Source organism: Homo sapiens, chromosome 4 (genome assembly GCF_000001405.40).
Source record: "Homo sapiens chromosome 4, GRCh38.p14 Primary Assembly".
Taxonomy (NCBI): domain Eukaryota; kingdom Metazoa; phylum Chordata; class Mammalia; order Primates; family Hominidae; genus Homo; species Homo sapiens.
Window position 1 is genome coordinate 116,273,256 of NC_000004.12, and position 24,433 is coordinate 116,297,688.

The 24,433-nt window shown below is 34.7% G+C and overlaps 1 long non-coding RNA gene across 1 annotated transcript; it reads right to left on the reverse strand.

The window, feature by feature from the left end:
* Positions 1–8,818: 8,818 nt before the first annotated feature.
* Positions 8,819–23,923, reverse strand: LOC105377383 (uncharacterized). The gene is made up of 2 exons (XR_939096.3): positions 23,704–23,923; positions 8,819–9,346 (listed from the first exon to the last, which is right to left on the reverse strand). It is a non-coding gene; the product is annotated as an uncharacterized LOC105377383 (long non-coding RNA).
* Between the last annotated feature and the right edge of the window lie 510 nt (positions 23,924–24,433).

Sequence of the window (24,433 nt, forward strand, 5' to 3'; positions counted from 1 at the left end):
TTTATTATAGCAAGGGTAATATGCCAACTAGTCCCATTGTTTGAAATTGAGAATAACATTGTTTTATTGATATGAATTATTCTTTTCAGTTTTTTAAATGTATAAAAGTTGGATATTTAAAGTATTATAGAAAGATTACCTCTAAGAAACAAAAAATGTTAAACAGAAGCAGCAGTTGTGTACATGACTGTGTATAATGCATATTAATGGGACCTTCTAAGCAAGAGCCCTGAGTAACTTCACTGGTCTAGCACAAAAAAAAAAAAAAAAAAAAAAAAAAAAAAAAAAAAAAAAAAGCCCTATTCTCAGGTAATACTTTTTTAAAGTGTTTTATAGACTTCAATAAAATTGGTTCTTATTATATGTAATTTAAGTATAAATTTTCATATCTCTCCTTTTACATTGTGAAAAATGTATACGAGTAGAGTATATAAATTTTTGCTTTAACTCTCACTTGCAATTTTATGTCTTACAGTTTTATAGAAAATTGTATATCGCATCATGATATTCAAGAATCAAATATTTGGTATCATACCTCACCCCAGTCTGCTCATATTCATTTATAACTTACTTTCAAAATAGCAGACTGTGAAAAATCCACTGGTTTGCAACCCTCCATATTATCCATGCATCATTTATGTAAAAGCTTTACTAATTCTAGTTTTTAGTCCTAGTTATTGTATTTGCAGACTGTTAAAATAGCACTGAGATTTTAGGAGTAATACAATTGGATCCAGAGACAAACATAACAAAAAATTTATTATTTGTTACTTTAAACTTTTTCAGTTTTCTGAAGTTATTCATTCTTAAGTAACTGACGTAAAAATACTTTGTATTAGTCTTAAATTTTACATTTGAAATGACAGTCTTGAAAATATAAATAAATGCCAACTTTTATGACTAAATATTTTATTTTCTATACATCTTTCTAATGGCAAAACTAAATTTAAAAAACAAAACTCCTTCTTCTCCAAGATTGCTGACTAGCCACAGCCAAGTGGCACATCTCACACTGAGGGACAGAGACATTGTGCAGACTGGTGCAATTCTAGCAGATCTTCAGAGGCAAGGCACTGAGAGCACACAGAGGAAAGACACAGAGGCTTGGCTGAAGAGGGAGAAAGTTGGGAACCTGACATGGGGCTACCATACACTGGAATTTGTTCCTAGCACCCAATTACTGCTGCGGAGGTGGTGAATCGAACAGGCAAGGAGCAACCTGTTGTCATCATAGGCCTTTGGATTCCTAGCAGGAAGAGACCCCTCGACTACCACAGATACTTGAGTTGGTAAGGAAAGCTGCTTAGAGAAGAGGTAGAGGCAGAATTCCAGCCTGGGCACAACCCAGAAGGTTTGGTACAGGAGTGTCTGTAGTGAAGCATAGCCAGGGATGTCCATCCCCTAGGCTCAACTTGCTCCCAGAAAAGACTTTAGTCCTAGGGAACTGTTGGACCTGAACTTTGCATGGCAGTCTTGCCCATGACATGGGGCCAGTCCAACCTGAGCACTTCTTGGTCTGCTGGCCCCTCCTGAGTCCCAGCCTGGTTGTGCCTGTCAGCAGTGCAGCTCTCAGGTCCTCCTGGGAGTCTGCACCATAGCTCCTGCACTGCTGGACCATGTCTGACCAGCAGAGTGCTCCAACAGAGCACCACAAAGACATGCACCAGCTTCTTCATGCCCTCCCCTTACCCAGAGTCTCACCCATGCCACTTTGTCTGCAGGCATTCACCTACAGCCACCCCCCATACTGCTCTGCCAGTGCATTTGCATGGGCAGACCATCCTTCCCTTCCCAGCCACTGCTGCCAGCAGGAGTGCACTCTACCCTCAGCACCACACCACTGTTTCCCTCTGAATATTAGGAGGCACAAAGTCCACCAGCCCCACTGGCCACAGTGCCCCATTCCCACCAGTGCCCCACCCTCAAGCTAACACCACCTTGGGTATGAACCCATGCACAGCTGTCGGCATGGGCCCCCTCCCTCGAGCCATACTGCCACCACCACTGCTCTGAATGCATGCCTACAGGCTAGCACCCCACCACAGCTAACAAATGTGAAGCCTGCCACACTGCTGCTACTTCTGCTGCTGCTGGCACATGCAAACCAAGATGGATCCCTTTGCCACTGCCCCAGGAAGTGCTTTGGCTGGCAACACTCATTGGAATGTTGTGATCAGCAGCCCAGGAGAAACTTGACCTCTCCAGCATAGCAGGTTCCTAATCTGTAGGAGCCAGAGATCAAAGCCAAGGCCTGATACCACTCCGCCAGAATTAGACCACACAGTACAGGAGTCCTAAGCTGAATGCTGCCCCCCTAAAATCATCCAGTAATGAAGTCAGTTGCATGAACCCACCTTATACCTCAATCAAACCCCCAAGATAATCAAATAGGATAAAAAAAATCCAAAGGACAGAAAGTTCAAAGATTGAAGGAATAACAGCACACAAAGACAAAAAAAGGACAAGCACAAGAACTATGACAACTCAAAAAGCCAAAGTGTTTTCTTTCCCCCAAATTACTGTGCTACTTATCCAGCAAGGAGAGATGAGATGAACTGGACTGAGATGGCTGTGATGACAGAAATATAATTCAGAATATGGATAGGAAACATCATTATGATTCAAGAGATTGTTGAAACCCAATCCAAAGAAAGCTAAGAATAACAATAAAATGACACAGAAGCTGGCAGACAATATACGCAATATAGAAAAGAATGTAACTGACCTGATAGAACTGAAAAACACTCTACAAGAATTTCATAATGCAATCACAAGTATTAACAGCAGAATAGAACAAGTTGAGGAAATAATCTCAGAGCCTGAAGACTGGCTTTCTGAAATAAGACAGTCAAATAAAAAAAATAAAAAGGGCAAATGAAGCCTCCAAGAAATACAGGATTATATAAAAATACCAAATCTATGACTCATTGGTGTCCCTAAAAGAGATGGAGAAAATGGAAGCAAGTTGCAAAATGTATTTCAATACATTTAGAGAAGAGAAATTTCCATGAGAAATTTCCCAACCTAGCTAGAGAGGCCAACGTTCAAATTCAGGGAATGTTGAGAACCCCCACAAAATACTCCACAAGATCATACCCAAGACACAAAATCATCAGATTCTCCAAGGGCAAAATGAAAGAAAAATGTTAAAGCAACTAGAGAAAGGACCGGTCATCTACAAAGGGAAGTCCATTAGACTAACAGTGGACTTCTCAGCAGAAACCATACAAACCAGAAGAAATAAACATTCAACATTCTTAAAAAAAGCAATTCCACCTAAAAATTCTCCATCTGGCCAAAGCAAGCTTCATAAGCAAAGGAGAAATAAAATTATTTTCAGTCAAGCAAATGCTGATGGAGTCTGTTACCACCAGACCTACCTAACAAGAACTCCTGAAAGAAGCACTAAAAATGGAAAGAAAGACTATTATCAGCCACTACAAAAACATAATTAAATACTCAGACCAGTGAGACTATAAAGCAACCACATAAATATGTCATTATAATAAACAGCTAACAACATAATGACAGGATAAAATTCACACATATCAACACTAAACTTGAATGTAAATAGGCTAAATGCTCCCAATTAAAAGGCACAGAGTGACAAGCTGGATAAAGAAGCAAGGCCCAATGGTATGCTGTCTTCAAGAGACCCATCTCCCATGCAATGATACCCATAGGCTCAAAACAAAGGGATGATGAAAACACTACCAAGCAAATGGAAAACTGAAAAAAAGCACAGGTTGCAATCCTAATTTCATACAAAAGAGACATTAAACCAAAAAAGATCAAAAAAGACAGAGAAGGGCATTGCATACTGGTAAAGGGTTCAATTCAGCAAGAAAACCTAAATATCCTAAATATATATGCACCCAACACAGGAGCACTCAGATTTATGAAGCAGGTTCCTAGAGACCTGAAAGAGACTTAGACTCCCACACAATAATAGTGGGAAACTTTAACATCCCATTAACATTACTAGCCAGATCATCAAGGAAGAAAATTAACAAAGATATTCAGGACCTGAATTCAACACTAGACCAAATGAATCTGACAGACATCTACAGAACTGTTCACCCAAAACAGCAGCATATACATCCTTCTCATCTGCATATAGCACACATTCTAAAACTGACCACACAGTGGGACATGAGACAATCCTCAGCAAATGCAAAAGAACCAAAATCATACCAACCACTCTCTCAGACCACAGCACAATAAAAATAGAATTCAAGACTAAGAATATCACTCAAAACCATGCAATTACATAGAAATTAAACAACCTGCTTCTGAATGACTTTTGGATAAATAATGAAATTAAGGCATAAATCAAGAGGACTGAAACTACTGAAAACAAAGATAAAACCTGCCAGAATCTTTGGGTCATAGCTAAGGCAGTATTAACAGGGAAATTTTTAGCACTACACACCCACATCAGAAAGTTAAAAAGATCTGTTTAACAACCTAACATCACAACTAAAAGAACTAAGGAAGCAAAATCAAACCAATCCCAGAGCTAGCAGAAAGTAAGAAATAACCAAAATCACAACTGAACTGAAGGAGATACATAAAAATCCATTCAAAAGATCAACAAATCCAGGAGCTGGTTTTTTTGAAAAAAAATTACAGGATAGATAGACTGCTAGCTAGACTAATACAGAAGAAAAAAAGACCCAAATAAACACAATCAGTAACAACAAAGAAGACACTACCGCTGACCCCACAGAAACACCAATAATGATCAGAGACACTTATGAACACCTCTATGCACACAAACTAGAAAATCTACAAAAGATGAATAAATTCCTGGATACATACACCTTCCCAAGATGGAACCAGGAAGAAATGTGAATCCCCAAACAGACCAATAATGAACTCCAAAACTGAATCAGTAATAAACAGCCCACCAACCAAAAAAGCCCTGGAGCAGATGGAATCACAGCCAAATTCTACCATATATATAAAGATGAGCTGGTAACATTCCTACTGAAACTACTCTAAAAAAATTGAGGAGGAAGAAATCCTTGCCATCGCATTCTATGAGCCCAGCATCATCCTGATACCAAAACCTGGTAGAGACACAACAACAACAGAAACTTTAGGCCAATATCCTTGATGAACATTGATACAAAAATCCTTAACAAAATAGTAGCAAATGAAATCCAGCAGCACATCAAAAAGCTAATCCCCACAATCAGGTAGGCTTTATTTCTGGGATGCAAGGTTAGTTTAACATAGGCAAATCAATAAATGTGACTCAACATGTAAACAGAAGAAAAGACAAAAACCACATGATCATCGCAATAGATACAGAAAAGGCCTTTGATAAAATTCAACATCCCTTCATGTTGAAAACTCTTAACAAGCTAGGTAGTGAAGAAATATACCTCAAAGTAACAAGAGCCATCTATGAGAAACTCCCTGCCAACATCATATGGAATGGATCAAAGCATTCCCCTTGAAAATTTATACAAGACAAGAATGCCTTTTATCATCACTTTTATTCAACATAGTATTGGAAGTCCTGGCCAGAGCAGTCAGGCAAAAGGAAAAAGTGAAGGGCATCCAAATAGGAAGAGAGGAAGTCAAACTATCCCTGTTTCCAGATAGCATGATTCTATATCTAGAAAGCCCCAGAGTCTTGGCCTTAAAACTCCTTAAGCTGATAGACAACTTCAGCAAATTTAGGATACAAAATCAACGTACAGAAATCACCAGCATTCTTATACATCAACAACAGCCAAGCCAAGAGCCAAATTAGCAATGCAATCTTATTCACAACTGCCACAAAAAGAATAAAATACCTAGGAATATAGCTAACAATGGAGGTGAAAGATCTCTACAAAGAGAATTATGAAACACTACTGAGAGAAATCAGAGATGACACAAACAATTGGAAAAAACATTCCATGCTCATTGATCAGAGGAATCAATATCATTAAAATAGCCATACTGCACATAGCAATTTACAGATTCAATGCTATCCCTACAAAACTACCAACAACATTCTTCACAGAACTAGAAAAAACTATTTATATGGAACCAAAAAGCAGCCCAAATAGCCAAAGCAATTCTAAGCAAAAACAACAAAGCTGGAGGCATCATGCTTCCCAACTTCAAACTATATTACAGGGCTACAGTAAACAAAATAGCATGCTACTGGTACAAAAACAGACACATAGACCAATAGAACAGAATGGAGAGTCCAGAAATAAAGGTTCATGCCTGCAACCATCTTATTTTTAATAAAGTTGACAAAAACAAGCAACTGGGAAATACTCTCTATTCAATAAATGATGCTGGGATGACTGGCTAGCCCTATGCGGAAGATTGAAACTGGACCCCTTCCTTACACCATATGCTAAAATCAACTCAAGACGGAGACTGAAATGTAAAATCCACAACTATAAAAACCCTGGAAGACAACCTAGGTAATAGCATTCTTGACATAGACATGGGCAAAGATGTCATGATGAATACACCAAAATCAACTGCAACAAAAGCAAAGTAGACAAATGGGATCTAATTAACCTAAAGAACTTCTGCAAAGAAAAGGAAACTATCAACAAAGTAAACAGACAACCTACCTAATGGGAGAAAAGTTTTGCAAATTTTGCATCTGACAAAGGTCTAATATCCAGCAACTACAAGGAACTTAAGCAAATGTACAAGAAATACTGAAGAACTTCATTAAAAAGTGGGCAAAAGATATGAACACTTTCAGAAGACATACATGTGGCCAAAAAGCAAATGAAAAAAGCTCAATATCCCTGATCATTAGAGAAATGCAAATCAAAACCACAATGAAATATCACCTCACACCAGTCAGAATGGTTAGTATTAAAAAGTCAGAAAAATAACAGATGCTGTCAAGGTGGCAGAGAAAAAGGACACTTACACACTGTTGGTGGGAGTGTAAATTAATTCAATGATTGTGGAAAGCAGTTTGACAATTCCTCAAATAGTTTAAAACATAACAACCATTCAACACAACAATCCCCTTATTGGGCATATGACCAAAGGATTATAAACCATTGTGTCAGAAAGACACATGCATGTGCATGTTCATTGTAGCATTATTCACAACAGAAAAGTTATGGAATCAACCTAAATGCCCATCAATGATAGACTGGATAAAGAAAATATGGTACATATACATCATGGAATGCAATGCAGCCATAAAAAAGAATGAGATCATGTCCTTTGTAGGAACATGAGTGCAGCTGGAGGCCATTATCTTTAGCAAACTAATGCAGGAAAAGAAAACCAAATACCAAATATTCTCACATGTAAGTGGGAGATAAATGATGTATGGACACAGAGAGGGGAACGACAAACAGTGGGGCCTATCAGAGGATGAAATTAGGGAAAGGCTTAGAAAACATTACTATTGGATACTAAGCTTAGTACCTGGGTGACAAAATAATCTGTACATCAAACTCCTGTGACACAAGTTTACCTATGTAAACAAAGACACATGTACCTCTGAATCTAAAGCAACAAACAAATGAAACAAAGGGCTTGGTGCTTACTCAAAATTTCTGCTATGAATACTGTAACTGTGAAATAGCTTATTATATTAACTGCCTTTAATGTCCATAAAATGATAACTTATGAAAGATAAGTCTTAGTCTCTTTGTAATAATTTTTAGTGTGGGAATGTAGTAAAGTAGGAGAATTTTGCTCATATTGATATTTATCCTATGTGACGATGAAGCTACATTTTTTGAAGATTCATTTAAGCAAAAATGTAATTGCAGTAGGATGTTTAGCTCCTTTTAGTGTCCCTTTTTACGCTGGGGTCAGAAAACAAAACAAAAAAAATGGAGTTTCCGATATTTAATCCTTTATTACACCATATGTGGTACTGGGAAATAGTATACTTGGCATCACTCACTGAAGTTTGTTATAGAAGATTACTAAAATAGACAGTACATCTATTATTTTCTGAAGTAATGAACTACATTTATTTTATTTTATTTCTGAGACGGAGTCTCGTTCTGTTGCCCAGGCTGGAGTGCAGTGGCGTGATCTCAGCTCACTGCAAGCTCCACCTCGTAGGTTCACATCATTCCTGTCTCAGCCTCCCGAGTTGCTGGGACTACAGGCTCCTGCCACCACGCCCGGCTAATTTTTTTGTATTGTTAGTAGAGACGGGGTTTCACCGTGTTAGCCAGGATGGTCTTGATCCCCTGACCTTGTGATCCGCCCGCCTCGGCCTCCCAAAATGCTGGGATTACAAGCGTGAGCCACTGTGCCCGGCCTGAACTACATATTTATAAGAACTGCAGTAATGATGCTGTCTTTATTGAAATTGGTTGATTCTCTATTTCAACAGTTATTTTTTTCAGCAAAGGGATGAATGTCCAGTCATTTTCTGAAAGGTGAGAAATTTGAGAAGCAACTAACAAAATATAATGTGTGGATAGATATAGATGAAATAGGAAACTTTTGACATGGCACAAAGCATAATTTCATTTTTCTGCATGTATGTATTACTCTTGAACATTTAGAAAATTAGGCTTAGGAATTCAAATTACTTAAAACAACTCATCAGCTTCTCATACAGTTGCAAAATTATTTTACTTTTGAATTTTTTAAAATAATGAAATGGAGCTTTTGTGGAAATTCAAGAAAGTTCAGAATACCAGAAGCCCAATATATGTGTATTATCATATATGTATGTTCTTCATCTGCTTCTGTATGTGATCTAGGAGAAACCAAACATATTGCTTTTTTATGACTTTAGCAATGTTCACAACATAATTAATTCTACTTATCATAGTAAAAGGATGGACACAAGCATATATAAATGTGTATTTCAATTAAAGTGTATTCTCTGCCATGTGGCTTCAGGAGGGTATATAATGAACAAAATGGGAATAGGAGAAATAAAACATAACATATTAACTATATGAGTTCTAAGTGTATTTAGGGATTGTGTGGTTAGCTTTGGGTCCTGTTTCTTCTTCAAGTATCAGCAAAGTAGATCATAATCAAAATAAAGCACTAATTCAGTTCTGGATAAAGATGTTCACACATATATCCAGAATGCCTGCAGATCAAGAATCCAGGCATAGCTACTGAGTCTTCTGTTACAGATCTCACAAAGCTACAGTTAAGGTGTCAGCCATACTGCCTCCTCTTCCAAAGGATTACCTATGGAATTACCTGCTTCCAAGCTCATTCAGGTTGTGGATCTAATTCATTTCCTGTGGTTGTAAGAACAAGGTCCCCAGTTATTTGCTGACTGTAAGCTGGAAGCTGCCTTCAACTCCTAGAGGCAACTGGCCTCCAGATCCTTCTGTGAAATTCTTCAATGTGGTTCCCTAATGCATTGAACCTGCAAGAAAACTCTAGCTCTAATCTGCTGGAATCTTTTTTAACTTAGCACACTACAGGCATAACATCTCATTACCTTTGCTATATAGCATGATATAATAAAAACTCATCAGGACAGTATCATTTTATCACCTTTTCCATATTCTACTGGTGAGAGCAAACCACAGATCCTGTCCAGACATAAGGAGACAGTAATACTCAGCAGCGTGAACATCAGGAGGCCAGAAATTATTGAGGGGTAACCTTAGTGTCTGTCTGCCACACACTCCATAGACAAACTGCTAGAAAGTAAAGATAAGGAGAAAATCTTTGCAAAACTTTGCAAGCTGATCGATTGTTGAAGATGTTGAAGATGGCCATTATTGAAAATTAAATTATAAAAATTACAATTAAGCAATTTACATTAAAATAAAATTAATAAATACTTTAAAAGAATCACCTTACAATTACTCTACTATACTGTACTATTTTCTATGTTCTTGAGGATATTTACATTTTTTTTTTTTGTGGAACTACTCTATAATGGTGTGCTACTTCACCTTTCCTCCTAATTCTGCATTCAATGACTTTATGTTATTATACTGAAATCAACCATAGTAAAAATGTTTACACTCCAGAAATGAGCAAATGTTACAACTGAGAATCAGAGCTATTTTTGTTGTTGTTGTTGAAAAACAATTGGTATGCATTTACCAGCATAACCCTAATTACAGGTAGAGTAAATTTAAGAGTTGTGAGATTATGCTTACATAGCATCTTTGCATTTTAAAATTAAATTTATAAACACACACATAATTGGAAGTAGAATTGTCTGCATTGTACTTTTTGATAAAGTTTTTTTTTTGTTTGTTTGTTTTGACAAAGTCTCGCTCTGTTGCCCAGGCTGGAGTGCAGTGGCGTGACCTCAGCTCACTGCAACCTCCGCCTCCTGGGTTCAAGCGATTTTCCTGCCCCAGTCTCCTGAGTAGCTGGGATTACAGGCAGACGCCACCATGCCCGACTAATTTTTGTATTTTTAGTAGAAATGGGGTTTCACCATGTTGGTCAGGCTGGTCTTGAACTCCTGACCTCGTGATCCGCCTGCCTCAGCCTCCTATAGTGCTGGCTGGGATTACAGGCAAAGTTGTTCTTTCAGAAGAGAAGATTTTCCCACACTTTCTTTTCAGCCAAACTTACTGTCTAATCAGATTGTTGCCTCATGTCTCCTAGATCTTCTTATCTTTTCTTCTCGCAATGTTGTGAAGTCACAGGAAAAGTACGTTAATGAATGCCTATTGCATTCATTAAAATATGTTCACTTTTTTGAGTTGTGGCAACAAATATATTTGAGATCTCTCAGAAAATGCAAAAACAGAATTACAAATATGTCTCCTTTTAGATACATACTCATCTTTATGTAAAAAATAAGTAAAGCAAATCACTTGAATTTAAAAGTATTTCATTTATTTGGATCTCAGGTGAAATACATTGGTCTTTATTAACGGTAAGAGGGATTGACAACCTGGTTAACTGAGGTCTGGTCAGCTTACCAATGAGTTTTGAATCATAGGTATCATTTAATATTTAGTGTGATTTTATTCTGTACTGTGTCAATAGCAGCACATCGTGGTTATGTCTTTTATATTAAATATAGATATAGTCTCTTCTTGTCATCTTTAAATCTTCCTAACATTATCAAAAGTATGTTTCTCAGAGCTATAATTTTAGGAACAATTTATTGATAATCAAGAAACATTAAAAACAAATATATGTAGGGTACGGAGATTCAAATTATACTTATTTTTGTTAGTCACTACAAAAAGAATGGGATTTAAGATAAACATATTGCTTGATTTATTAGTGTTATGCTTTTTTATTTGAAGCCAAATGTTTGTGTTCCACAATATTAACAAAAATATCTCTGTGTAGCTTCTTATTTTTAAAAACCCTCTGTAGTATTTCAGAATTAAAAGCTAAAATGCATTTCTGGAAAGGGAATTAGGAATGTCTTGTTTTAGCCAATTTATTTGGTTCTATCCAATGAAAAGTTGGCATATAATACGTTATAAAATGTATAAAACTTCTAGGCTCTTAATCATTCATTCTATCTCATAAATCCCATTTGCCAGCTTGGTTTCAGTACTCTGAGTTACTTTGGAAGCCACATACTGAAGAGGTCAAATCTTCCATCACCCTCAGTTGCTGAATGGCTTTACAAAACAACATACCTCTGTGGTGCTGGTTCGATTTATTTGAAAAATAAATGTTTACTATGTTAAGTGTAGCTGCAAAAAAAGATTATAGAGTAAATTTCACAGAGGACTTCTTTGTTTTATTTGGAAATTTTCATCCTGAAGAATGAAGTCCCTTTCTCATCAAGAACGGCCACCTTAAAATCAATTTCCCACAGAACCAGTAGTTTATCTTTATCTCAAAGGTAAGGTATACTCAATCTCGGCTCATATTTAATGTCTTAAATTCAGAATACATTGTAATTCCATGAGAAGAGGGCATAGAACCTCTTCATTGGGAATTCTCCCAGACCATGCCTCATGTGTCTCTTCATTTCATATGTCTCCTAATTTGTATTCTTTATAATAAAACTGTAATCATAAGTATAGCAGATTCCTGATTTGTGTGTCTTTCTAGAAACTATCAAGCTTCAGGGGGTCATGAGAACTCCTTGGATGCGTGACCAGTTGATTAGAAGTTCAGGTGGCCTGGGGACCCCAAATTTGTGGCTGTCATCTGAAGTGTGGCTTTAACTTATGGATTTGTTAAATCCATCTAAAACTTGTGGATTTTAACTTATGGCAGTCTTTAACTTATGGATTTGCAACTAACTCCAGGTGGCTGGTGTAAGAATTATTTTCAGTATTGCAGCTATATGAGGAAGCCTAAGCCTAGAATATTGAAATGTAAAAATAAAAATTGGAAATATAAAATAAGTTCTATGTAGATAAATTTTCAGGAAAAAATGAATTTCTTACAAAATAACAAGAAGGCAAAAAAAAAGATTCATTTTAAGATTCATTTGGGAAATCTTGTGTTAAAAAAAATGAAAACATTTTTCCTTCTTTCTCAATATCCTGAGATTTTTTTTTTGAAGAATTTAGGTGCATCAAGTCTTCATACCATTATGAAAAAAAAAAATGTGAGCCATCTGAAGCTTCAGTTAACAGGTTAACTCGGGTAGGAAATGCCAGACAGTTTTTCTCCCTTTTCAAATCAGTTTGATCCTTTCTCAAACTGAGAACTTAACTTATTTGTTAAAAATTTCAGACTGTTTCCATATTGCCTCAAGGACCAAAGGCAAAGGAGCATTCAGTGAAGACTAAAATTTACCTAGGCCATACCCCTGTTCTCTTCTCAGGGATTGAGTATAGATTCCCAGTTACTCCCTAATAAAATTTTACATGTTCATTGTTATCCTTTTTGTTTTATATAATTCAGGAAATGATGCTTTTGCTATTTTAAAATAGAATGACTCAGGGATGTTTTACTAATTATTTCCTTGTGTAATATATATTAGTTCACGAAATATCTCATTTTAATCTTTTTCTATAATTGCAAGTATTTTAAAGAAAGCAATCATTGCATATTTAATAGAACACAATGCAAAAAAAGGATAAAAGTTGACCAAGTGAAGAAAGAATGAGACAGTTATATATTTACAAATTTATCATTATTCCAAAGAGCATGGTATACATGTTAAATGTCAAACAAAAAATGTTTAAAACACAGGCTACAAGCATTTTTCATTCTTGCCCTTTTATCTTTTACCACCTCAAAATTTATGACAGAATAAAATAAACATAAGCTCCCTTATATATTTTTTCCAAATGATTCTTTTTTCTTTCTTTTTTTTTGCTTGTCCAGCATTAAAGAATGTTTGTATAATCCAATGTAAAGGAAATCAATACTTCCAGATTGCTCTTTAAGTAGAATAAGTTTTACAAACTAATCAAGGGAGTAAATCATCAAAGAATAAATATTAAATAACTGTTCATCAAACTACAAATTTAAAGTTCAAAGTATTAGCCTTACAATTTCCAAATCAACATATTGATTCCTTAAATGCAATATCTAGCTCGCTTTAAGGGTACTACAAGTAAAGTACTGAAAAAGTCTTACAATATCAACATCCATTTTTTATTGGCTAGTTATCGCTATTTAATTCTGTAACCAAATTAGCATGTTTGAGACAATATATTAAATTCAAAAATTTAAAACTCTTTTGTAACATATGAATTGTTTTCATTGCCTAGGGGAATAAGTTCTTGTGTTTTTTTTGTAATCACAATTATTAATATAGTATATTTCTAATATCCCAATGAAGATTTAAAATATTATATGTACTAGATTGATTCTATTTCAATTTATTCTATTCAATTTTAATCCACTCATTATTCCATGAAAAATATTTGATGGCTCACATGATCTGTTTTTATAACACACTAATAATTCACCACCCTCAGTATGAAAAACATCATCTAAACAACACAGTTTATGATCACTATTGGCTGTGTTGCTCTCTATTGGCAAGATAATTTTCTTTATGTATACTATGTAGATTCAGAACCTGCCTCCCAAAAATGGTTTTCTCTACTCCTCTCTGGCTCTGATAGTAAGAAGGATAATTGTTCACCATGTGATTAAAGAGCTTCTTTTGCTAATGCTATTTTTCTTTTCCAATGAGGCTACTTAACACTTGTACTTGACTCTCATTTTGCTTTGCAAAAAATACCACAATGTTTTAAATCTCCTCTGTTATTCTATCACTAGACCACAAAATAAGGCAGAAACACATTTTAGACACTTCAATCTTGACAGCATTCTGACACTCCTATAAAGTTTATAGGTGGTGCTTTCCCTATCCTAGGTTAAACTTGGATTAGATAGCCCAGGAGAATGAGGGAGGAACTCTGAAACTAACTTTATCATAGCAGTCTGTGTTTGGGGGAATAATTTCTCCTAGATGAGTGTCCAAACTGTGAACTCTTTATTCATATAAATCTGGGATGTAGGAAAAAATTTTTAAAAATATACTGGTGATGTTATTGTAAGATACAATTTCAAGTATATTGAACATTTACTTATTTCGGTGGATCCTGAGTATGTGAACTGACTTAATTCTGAAAACTGTGTAAGAAACCATGACTTCAATATCTAATTCCAGGTCAGACTTCTGTTAACATGACTGAAATAGTTATAGTCATACCAATTAGTAGAATACCACATTAGTATCCATTTATTTTGGTCCAGGAATGCTGTGCACATTTGAGCAAAATTAAAGATTCCTTCTGATGTAAATTCTTGTTATTAACTGGCTTTACCTCTTTTTGGATCCACTACTTCGGCACTGTAATACAAATATGCAGTCTCTGGTGCCCCAGATGATCTCTTTCTACTAAAAACCTAGAAGCAAATTTTAATAACACCATCTCCCAACAGGATCACAACCCACTGAAAATAATCAATACAATGATATACACGGAAACTAGTGTCCCCCTTGGTTAAATGTTTCTCAAGATGATTATCTCTGGGCTCTCTCCTCAAATATAGTTTGGGCAAGAGTGGATATATCCAAAATCTCTTGCTGCTTTCTCTAATAATTTTTCTCTAATTTGTCACCTTAATCTTCTTTTTTTTTTGACTAATATAAATGATTTAAAAGTATAAAAAGACAAGTCACAGGCTAATATAAATGGCCAGCAAATCACATATTTGAAAAATAATTTGAGTTCAGGATATACAAATAAATCTGAAAGGTCAATAAGAAATCAAAGAAACTAAAAAACAAATGGACAAATGTCTAAATAGACATTTTTCCAAATAATATACACATACAGAAAATAGGCACATAAACAGATACCTAATATAATTAGTTATTAAGGAAACCCAAATTAAACCCACAATATAATTGTTTATATATATATATATATATATATATATATGCCTAAAATTAAAAAAAATCCAACCATACCAAATAATTTTGGTGAACATGTGATTCAAATGAAATGCTCATGAAATTGCTGGTAGGAATATAAAGTGGCACAACTACCTTTGTAAACAGTCACCATTTAACTAAAATCTAAAAATACACCTGCCATAGGACACAGATATTGCATTCCTAGGTATTTCAAAACTGAAAGTGTTTTTTTCAAACAAAGCCTTCTGCATAAATACTTGTAGTGGCTTTATTTTTATTTTCGATAGTCAAAAACTGGAAGCAATGCAGTCTACCAACATGTAAGTGAGTAAACAAATTGCATTTCCATATAATGGAATACTATTCTTCAATAAAAAGAATAAATTATTGATATATATAATTATAGTTTGGATCTCTCAAAATAATTATATTAAGTATGTCGACTGAAGAATCACAAGGTTAAAAAATTTGCAAAGGAGAACTTTGTTTCTTCTAAAGGGTTGTATCCTGCAAAGTGGCAATTCGGACAGGCTAGGAAGCACAGTCTCTGACAGAATCTGGAAACCAGCACTTCGAGTGAGAGAAGAATAAGACCGGAATTTATTGTGAATAGGGTGACTTTTCATTTTTAAAATTGGGATTTGTAAAGGAAGTTTTAAATTTTGCTGAAGACTATATATTTTTTGTTGTTTTTACATTTATAATGTCTTTATTGAAATAAAATTGTCATAAAATAAAGTAAAAATATGTAAACAATTTGATAAGTTTTGGTACATGTATACACCTATAAAACCACTATTACATGTAGATAATGGACAAGTCCATCACAGCCAAAAGTTTTCTTCTGCATATTGTCAGATCTCTGCACATCCCCTTCCCCAATGCTAATCCTCTTCCCCAGGCAATGAGTAACCTGCTTCTGTCAGTTTAGATTAGTTTGCATTTTATGGAATTTTACATAAACAAAATCCCAAAATATCTACTCTTTTGGTGTGGCTTTTTTCAGTTGAGACATAAAAATAAAATCTTAAACCTCCCAATCAACTGAATGAATCCTAATCTCCATCTTGGCCAAGGGGAACCCAGAGAAACTTTAAAAACTGAGTTCCTGGCCATGACAGAATGGGAGGTTGGATACACCTCAGTATGATTCCTCTTTATTAATCTTTAACCAGAGTGCTTTCCTAAGGAGTAAACAGAAACCAGCTCTGAAAAACAAAAAATATAAAGCACATTCCTTTGTCTCCTTATGCCAGTCATCTGAAGCCAACAGCAGATGTGACAGCTCACCAGATTTACAGTGCATCTCTTCCTAAAAAGTGACCATGATCACCAGACTAGTTTGGAGAGGATGCACAGAGACGGTTTTTGCGTCCTTGGCTTCACCTTTTGATGTCAGTGTGTTGAAAACTCCACTCTTAGATCATGCTCACGCTGCCATTTTTAAATCATTCGACTCATGAAGAGGCACAAAGCTCAATTGCACATGTGCACATTTCTCCTTTTATAATTATGACTCCACTTATGGATTATTAAATATGTATATTCAGCCACCCTATTCACCTCAATCTTCTTTGAGGCCATGTTCCTGTTAATGAAGCAAGTAAAGATTGGGATAATTGGAACCACACACTGATGTCCCAGTTGGTCCACTGAATCCAGATTGTGGAGGAAAGTACTCATTTTTTTAAAACTGACTGTAGCGTAAAATTGTAATATTCTCTCTTTTTTGTTTTCATTATCCTCAGAGTTTATTTATACATTTAGCAATTTCCTGAGGTTTGTGTTTTTAATCCTGTGTTTATACATCTCACAGAGACAGGCTAATATTTAATTCTACTGATAGTCTTAGGGGAAATGGGGTTTGGGGCATGGGGAGCATCAGCTCCCCACTGTAGGGAACTTACCTTAGGCAAGAGAATTGTTATTAAAGCAAGATATGAGTTTCATCATTCAAGGGAAGCACTACTGCTTCTTCTGGCAAAGCGAGCTTGATGGCACGGAGGTTCAGGGAGCACTTAGTTACCCAGATCCTCCCACATAATATATTCTTGGAGCCACACTCTTCCAATCATTGAACCAATTTCACTTATGCAATCTGGTGGGACCATCATCTCACCCACTATTTCAAATCAGATACCAGAAGGATCATGAGAATGAATATTTTTACTCAGCTAGAAAAGATCTCTGGTGCTCATAAAATTCCGTATTCTCTACTTTGTAAATTGAACTAATAATTTAATGATCTGTGCTTGTGATTGAACCATTAGTATTATTAGAGGAAATTATGCTAATCTTAGTTATTGAACTTATCATGGTATTTATATTGTTCTAAGGCAATAAACACTCAATTCAGTAAAATATTTATTTTAAATAATTCTTCATTCTAGTCAACTAAAGATTAACTGAAGATTTTTTTTACTTTTATTTATTTATGTATTCATTTATTTATTTGCTTCTCCTCATCACCTTATTTCCCCAGCCCCTCCAATAGTTTTGAGAGATATCTTGAGTGGTTTCTGCTTTCCTAATCAGACACTATTGATCCAGTCTACCCCTGTAAACATGGAGGATTTGCCTGGTTTCTCTTTTTGATGAGTCTTTCTTCCTAAACATCAGTGAATAATTTACTTCTGAGATGCCTTAAAAAACAACAATCTGACATGCTATTCCAAGTAAGAAACCAGTGGTTGTAAAATCATGTGTACATAATTTTGCCTAGGAGATTAGAATTATGTAGAAATATGTACCCCATCAGGATCTAACCTTATTTGGCTCAAAAGAAATGTATGCCATAGGGCTTAATTATATATATATTTTTATTTTCAGTTAATTTTTTCCATGTGTTTAAAGTGGAACATGTGCATGAGCAATAAATCTGAACTTAGGTTTTTTAATGATTAAGGTAAAATAGTCCATCCTTGGGAAAAAAATGAATTTATTGTAGAAATACCATGATTTTATCACCTTATTTAGAAATACATTTAACATATAGTTTTGAAAATAACAGTAATGGGTAAATTTTAAAAGTGAACACAATATAGAATATTTTATGCTTATATATTTTGAATAGAATTGCTTATTATCTAGAGGTTTTGTCTTAAGCAGTAGTATAGGCAAGAAATCAAATATTAATGAAATATCAGAAAAAAACAAAATTCCTTCTAAAATAGATATATATCTATTACTCAGTTTTACGACACACTGATCAATATTTTTACTCCTCAAAGGCTTAACATGGTTTATTTAAATTTTGACAGATTAGTTTTATATTATATAAAAGAATTTCATTATCTTATCCATCAGTGGGCACTCTCAACTTTAACCTAAACACTGGATTGTATTTTGGGTAGAATACCATATATTTATTTATAATTTATAGTTGAGTCCTTGTCTATTCACCATCATTACAGTAAAATTTTCTAGTTGACTGCCATTAAATAGGCAAAATAAAACACCTTGGATTTTGAATCTTACTTGTAATTCCATCAAGCATTCTTAATATGAAACCACATTGTTAGCAATTTAAAATCAATGTGCAATAATTTCCAAGAAAACCTATTGTGTTTGGAGAATTTATGTTATAAAATGAGATTCAGTTAACATTTTGTGAAAAATTTGTAAATGTCAGTGCTTACAAATGATTTGAAGAAGTATAATTTTCTTACTTCAAATTATTTTTTGTTGTTAAAATCTACAGGAGGTAAGTAAAGTACCAGTGAGATTGACGTAAAATTTAGATAAGCCAACCGATCTGTAAACCAAAATTACAATATCTCAATTGAAATAGACCCGAATTTTGAATCAGTATACTACATAACTTGTTAAAACAAAAAGTAATCACACAGCAAATAAAATGCAAATAGACTTTTATATCATTCTGGTACAACATTCAAAGAATAGACTTGGACCATTTACTTTCTTTTCTCTTTGATATAGTTTGATTTTGAAGACGCAGTATAATAATCACTTAAGAGTGTCATTATTATTATCAAAGACATAAAATGCAGAAGGAACTCCAAATAGTCAATAAATTCATTTTTTCCCAAGGATGGACTATTTTACCTTAATCATTAAAAAACATAAGTTCAGATTTATTGCTCATGCACATGTTCCACTTTAAACACATGGAAAAATATAGTACTAATATTTAATAAGAATTTCTAGACATTCCTGGGGTGTATGATTTAGAATACATTTACAAGCTGAGTAAACACTGTTTGTCATCCATTGACTCAGCGAAGTCTCACCAGTGCCATTTCCAGAGCCTAATTGCTATTAAAAAGATGATACTAGGTCATCAAATCATTTCCAGACAGTATCTCTATCCACTCATTCATATCTGTAATTTTAAGGCATAGTACGATGGTCATGTAGAAAAGCAAAAATGTTGTCATCGACTATAAAGGTGGTGGTACCATTGAGGTACTTCTGCACAATTGAATGAATCTTCTTTTTTTCCTGTTTCTATTATGTTAGCATGATGGAAAACCATCACTCTGTACTCACCATAACTGAATGAAATTATATCTTACAAGATATTTGTTTTAAATCAATGTGTAAATATAACAGACAAAATATAAATTATCATTAAAAGAAATATGGGAGGTTTCATGTAGACAGTAATTATTACATTATTTTAAATAAAATTTCATACTCCTGGATGTCCTAAAGTCATTGTAGAAAGTCTCTCACTTATGACGTGTCAGTTAAAATTCAACAGTAATTCATAGTAATGATTTTAAATTTAAAATTGCATTTACCCACAGAAACTAGGTTGAAAATTTTGAGAAGATGCTAGGACATTTCAAAACACATTATTTTTTGAGCTTTTAATGAACATGACACATTATACTCTTAAGATCATTTAGCTATAAATTTTCATAATTTAACAATAAAGCTTATTATTTATCATATCAATTTTTAATGAATGCAGATGAAAGTCAAATACACTTTGAGTGAAATCTTAGAATGGCACAGTACATTGTATAACCTTGGTAGATTCTCGACTAGGGACTTCATAAGCTTATTATGTGAGTGACAAGATGGATCTATATCTACCCAATGGCACTGTTGGGTGCTTATTTGTAAATATCTAGAGCATTGTTCGATGATGCACATATAAAAGACCTCAAAATTGTTTGAAGAGATAAAATAATTAAATAAAATGATTCAGTATTTAACAAATTTTTTATCAGATTTATGTTAGGTGGTTTACCCCCAAATTTATACAGTTGGCTTCAAAATACATCCTTTAATTTTTATGTAGTGTTTTCATGTGTCCTTATTAAGTCTAATAAGAGACTTAATTCACATGACATTTCCTACAAAATTATTCTCTCCTCTTATTTTTATACTAAAATAATATTTTATACTTTTATACTTATATTTAACATTTGTACTTATTTTTATACTATACCATTGTTTGATTAGGTACTATATCTTCCTGGCTAGGAGCCTTATTTTTAAATGACTCCTCTTTTCTATAATCTCCACATAAAAGTAATTACCAAATCCAGCTTGAATGATATCTGCAACATGTTCCTTGTATTTTCTATCAATTTCTATCCTGGCTTAATTATTATCCACTGGAAAATTTAAATCATCTACCCACCTGTGACCCATACCACAAAATGCATTTTCTCAAAGTTCTGATCACTTTCTGGCTTTAAACATTTTTTCACTCTCCTCTGTAACCTTGTTCCATTTTGTGCGGGGAAAGACTGCACCAAGTTTATACTGTAACTTTGTGTGAAGAAAGAGGAAGAGGAGGAGGAAGAGCAGGAGGAGGAACAGGAGCAGGAGAAAACATTATTTTTTAGGTGGATTGATGATGAAATAATAATAATAAAAAAAAAGCTCCTCTTTGGGGAGGACTAATTAGAAAATGAAGCCCCTTCCTCAGGACTGATGTAGCCTCATGCCATGGCTCATTGCTTGACATGGCACACCAACAAGGTGACCCTGTGAAGACTACAGCCTACAGCCTACTTAACTACACACAGTTGCACTAGTTAACATGGCCCCTTTCTATCTCCAGTAACATTCCTGAAGTTTAGTTCTTTTGTTGAGAACATTGTAATAACTACCTCTCCAATTTCCTGCGCTATCATTTTATTACACAGATTTTCTCTCTTCCTTCCTTGGAAATTTCTGATAGTTTGATTATCATCACATGAAACTTCTCATTCAATATTTCTCTTGTCTATTTTCATTTTCTTATCTCTTACTGTATTTTTCTTCCCTTATTCTGTTATCAATTTTAGTATATCTTCTACTTTCAATTTTTTTGTTTGTTTGTTTTCAAACACATGCATGTCAAGTATTATGTAACGAAGTCCATTGATTACTTTTCCAACTTGCTATTATCAATTCTGAGGCAGTCCTGGTGCCTCTAGCTTGGTTGTGCAGCTTTCAAATTCTATTCAGTAGGAGCTTACAGGGATGTGATGGGCAGCATGTAATGTTTCTTAAGCTTGAAATTACTGGTTTTACATTCCCTGAGTTAAGTTTCTAGAGCATACCTCACAAAGCCCATACCTGTTTTTTAACTACATTGTGTAATAATTTTATAAAAAATGGTTTAATGCTATCATTTTTACTGCTTTTATTATGATGCTTTATAATTTATCGGCTGTGTGAATAAGTAGCCTTTAAACGATGATTTGTTGTTTTCCATAGAAGTGAGCTTATTATTGATTCATGACTTTCCATGAGAAAGATGAAAATTGATCTGATCTGATTATAACATAACTTGCAAAATCACCAAATAATCTCTTTACATATTAGCGCTTTATAAAATCAAATACTTCATTTATGCTTGGGGAGAAGTGGAGGAAGTCCACAGAATTGGTATAGATGACTTTTAAAAGTTCTGATTGAGTCTGGTCAATACAAATCATACTTTTTTTTCCTTTAAGTGTGCTATATTATCTCAAATCATAATAGCATGCATTAGTACAGTAGTTTCTGGCAACTTACATTGATTATATTTGTATTATAGAAACTTTACTACTAATAATAAACATCTTTATAGCTCTTAACATTTTTTGGAGGAGTTTACTGTAATACATATTGTTTTATTATCACATAACATAATCTATAGGTGCTATCATTAATATTACAGAGATATGGAGACTCAAGTTTATACTGTTTAAGCACATAATTGTACAGTACATATCCTATTAGCAGAAGATCCACAAATGAAACATGAAATGTTTTGCTGAAAGTTTATTGTGCTTTCTACTAGAGCAGAAGGCCTTAGATTATTTGTCTTGTCTGAAACCATTTATAAACTATCATGCTAGTCATAATAACAGGAAATTCATATTCCTTGGCAATTTTGAAAGAGAGAATGATAACTTCAGATTTGAGACAGTACATATTAAGCAGTCTAATATTTTATAAGTATATATAAAATGGAAATGAAGCTCTAGAAATGATTGGACCTAATGATACACCTTTTAGGTGATGCTGTAATTAATGGATTATTTCACTCTCAAGAGTATCAAAGGCATAGGGAGATGAAAAATAAAGGTTTAGGAATAGGAACACTTATATGAAACAAAATCAGGAAAGAATTTTGGAAAATAGTCATTAGAGTATAAACACAGTCCAGTCTTGGAGGTTTCTTTTTAATGAATTTGGACAACTTGAAAAAACATACACTTGGTAATGTACTAGCGTCTATTTTTAATAGTTAACTGGAAAAGTTTAATGAGAATTCAGATATACTGTATTTTACTATGCGAACTAAACTAAGTAAAATCATAAAATATATAAACCTATCTTTTCCTATTATGTATACTGATGTTTAAAATGCTAATTAGTATTCTTCTACAGTGAGAAGACAATTTCATTGCACATCATGTTACGTTTATTCCTGTGTATGTTGTTTCCTCTATCTACTGATATTTACAGAATTCTTAGGTTTTTTTTTAATATTAACACCTCCTAAATTATGATCTTCCACAAGCATAGTCCACATGCATAGAAGCACATATTAATAACTTCTTAATCAACTATCACACATCTACTATTGACTGTACAATAAAATCTAACCCACGTGGATATTGACCCATACTGTAAATCACAGTGCATACATTCGTTCATCGGACATAGCACATTTCAGTCAAGAAATCCCTCGTCAACATGTATATCCCCTATCAAATTTTGCTCTCTTAATCTACCAACCACTGAGAAATCATCATCCCTCTCAGGAGTGGCACCCTCCTGGTTCCAGGCCCATGACACTTGGGGGTGACTATACTGAAACCATACCTGGCATCTGGTTCTTACTTCAGGGCCATAGAATTAAGATCGCCCACACGTTCCCCTTAAATAAGACATTTCCATGGACTAATGACTACCACCCTATTAACCAGTCACAGGAGCACTGTCATGTCATGCATTTGGTACTTTTAACTTTGGGGGATGCTATCACTCACCTGGTCCCTGCCGAATCCGCAGTAGAGGAACTCGGATTTGATTCCTGCCAAATCAATTGTAGAAGCTAACCTTATATTCATATTCCAGGCTGGCATTATAACCAGAAGGTGTTACTTAATTCATGCTTGAAGGACATAACAATTAATAGACACGCAAGCCTGTACCGACGCTCACGCCCGTACCGACGCTCACGCCCGTACCGACGCTCACGCCCGTACCGACGCTCACGCCCGTACCGACGCTCACGCCCGTACCGACGCTCACGCCCGTACCGACGCTCACGCCCGTCGCATGCACTCTGAATTTCAAGAACTATTTCCGATTAAATCTGCAATACCCCCTCCCCGCATCTCTGACTTTACTATCAACCTAGCTAAATGTATCCTTGCCAAACCCCAAAAACAAAAGACTAAAATGCAGCCCAGTCAGAGCCCAGAAATCATATTTTAACCATGAACGCCTCAACAGCTACCCCTCGATTGATGTAATTTTTCTAAAAAATCTTAACACCCTCCTACTAAATTAATCCTCCACTTTGTATAATAAATATAATAACTAAATTTCTGCCCTAATACTAATATAATACCTTGAGCATATCCCCCGAAAGCATTGCCCCATATATCATCTCCTAAATCAATCATACTCTTGATTATGAGTGATCTTCTTAGCCAAACCTCTGCCAATTCAACTTTAAAGACCCTGAATTTCCAGAACTGTAAACGACTATTT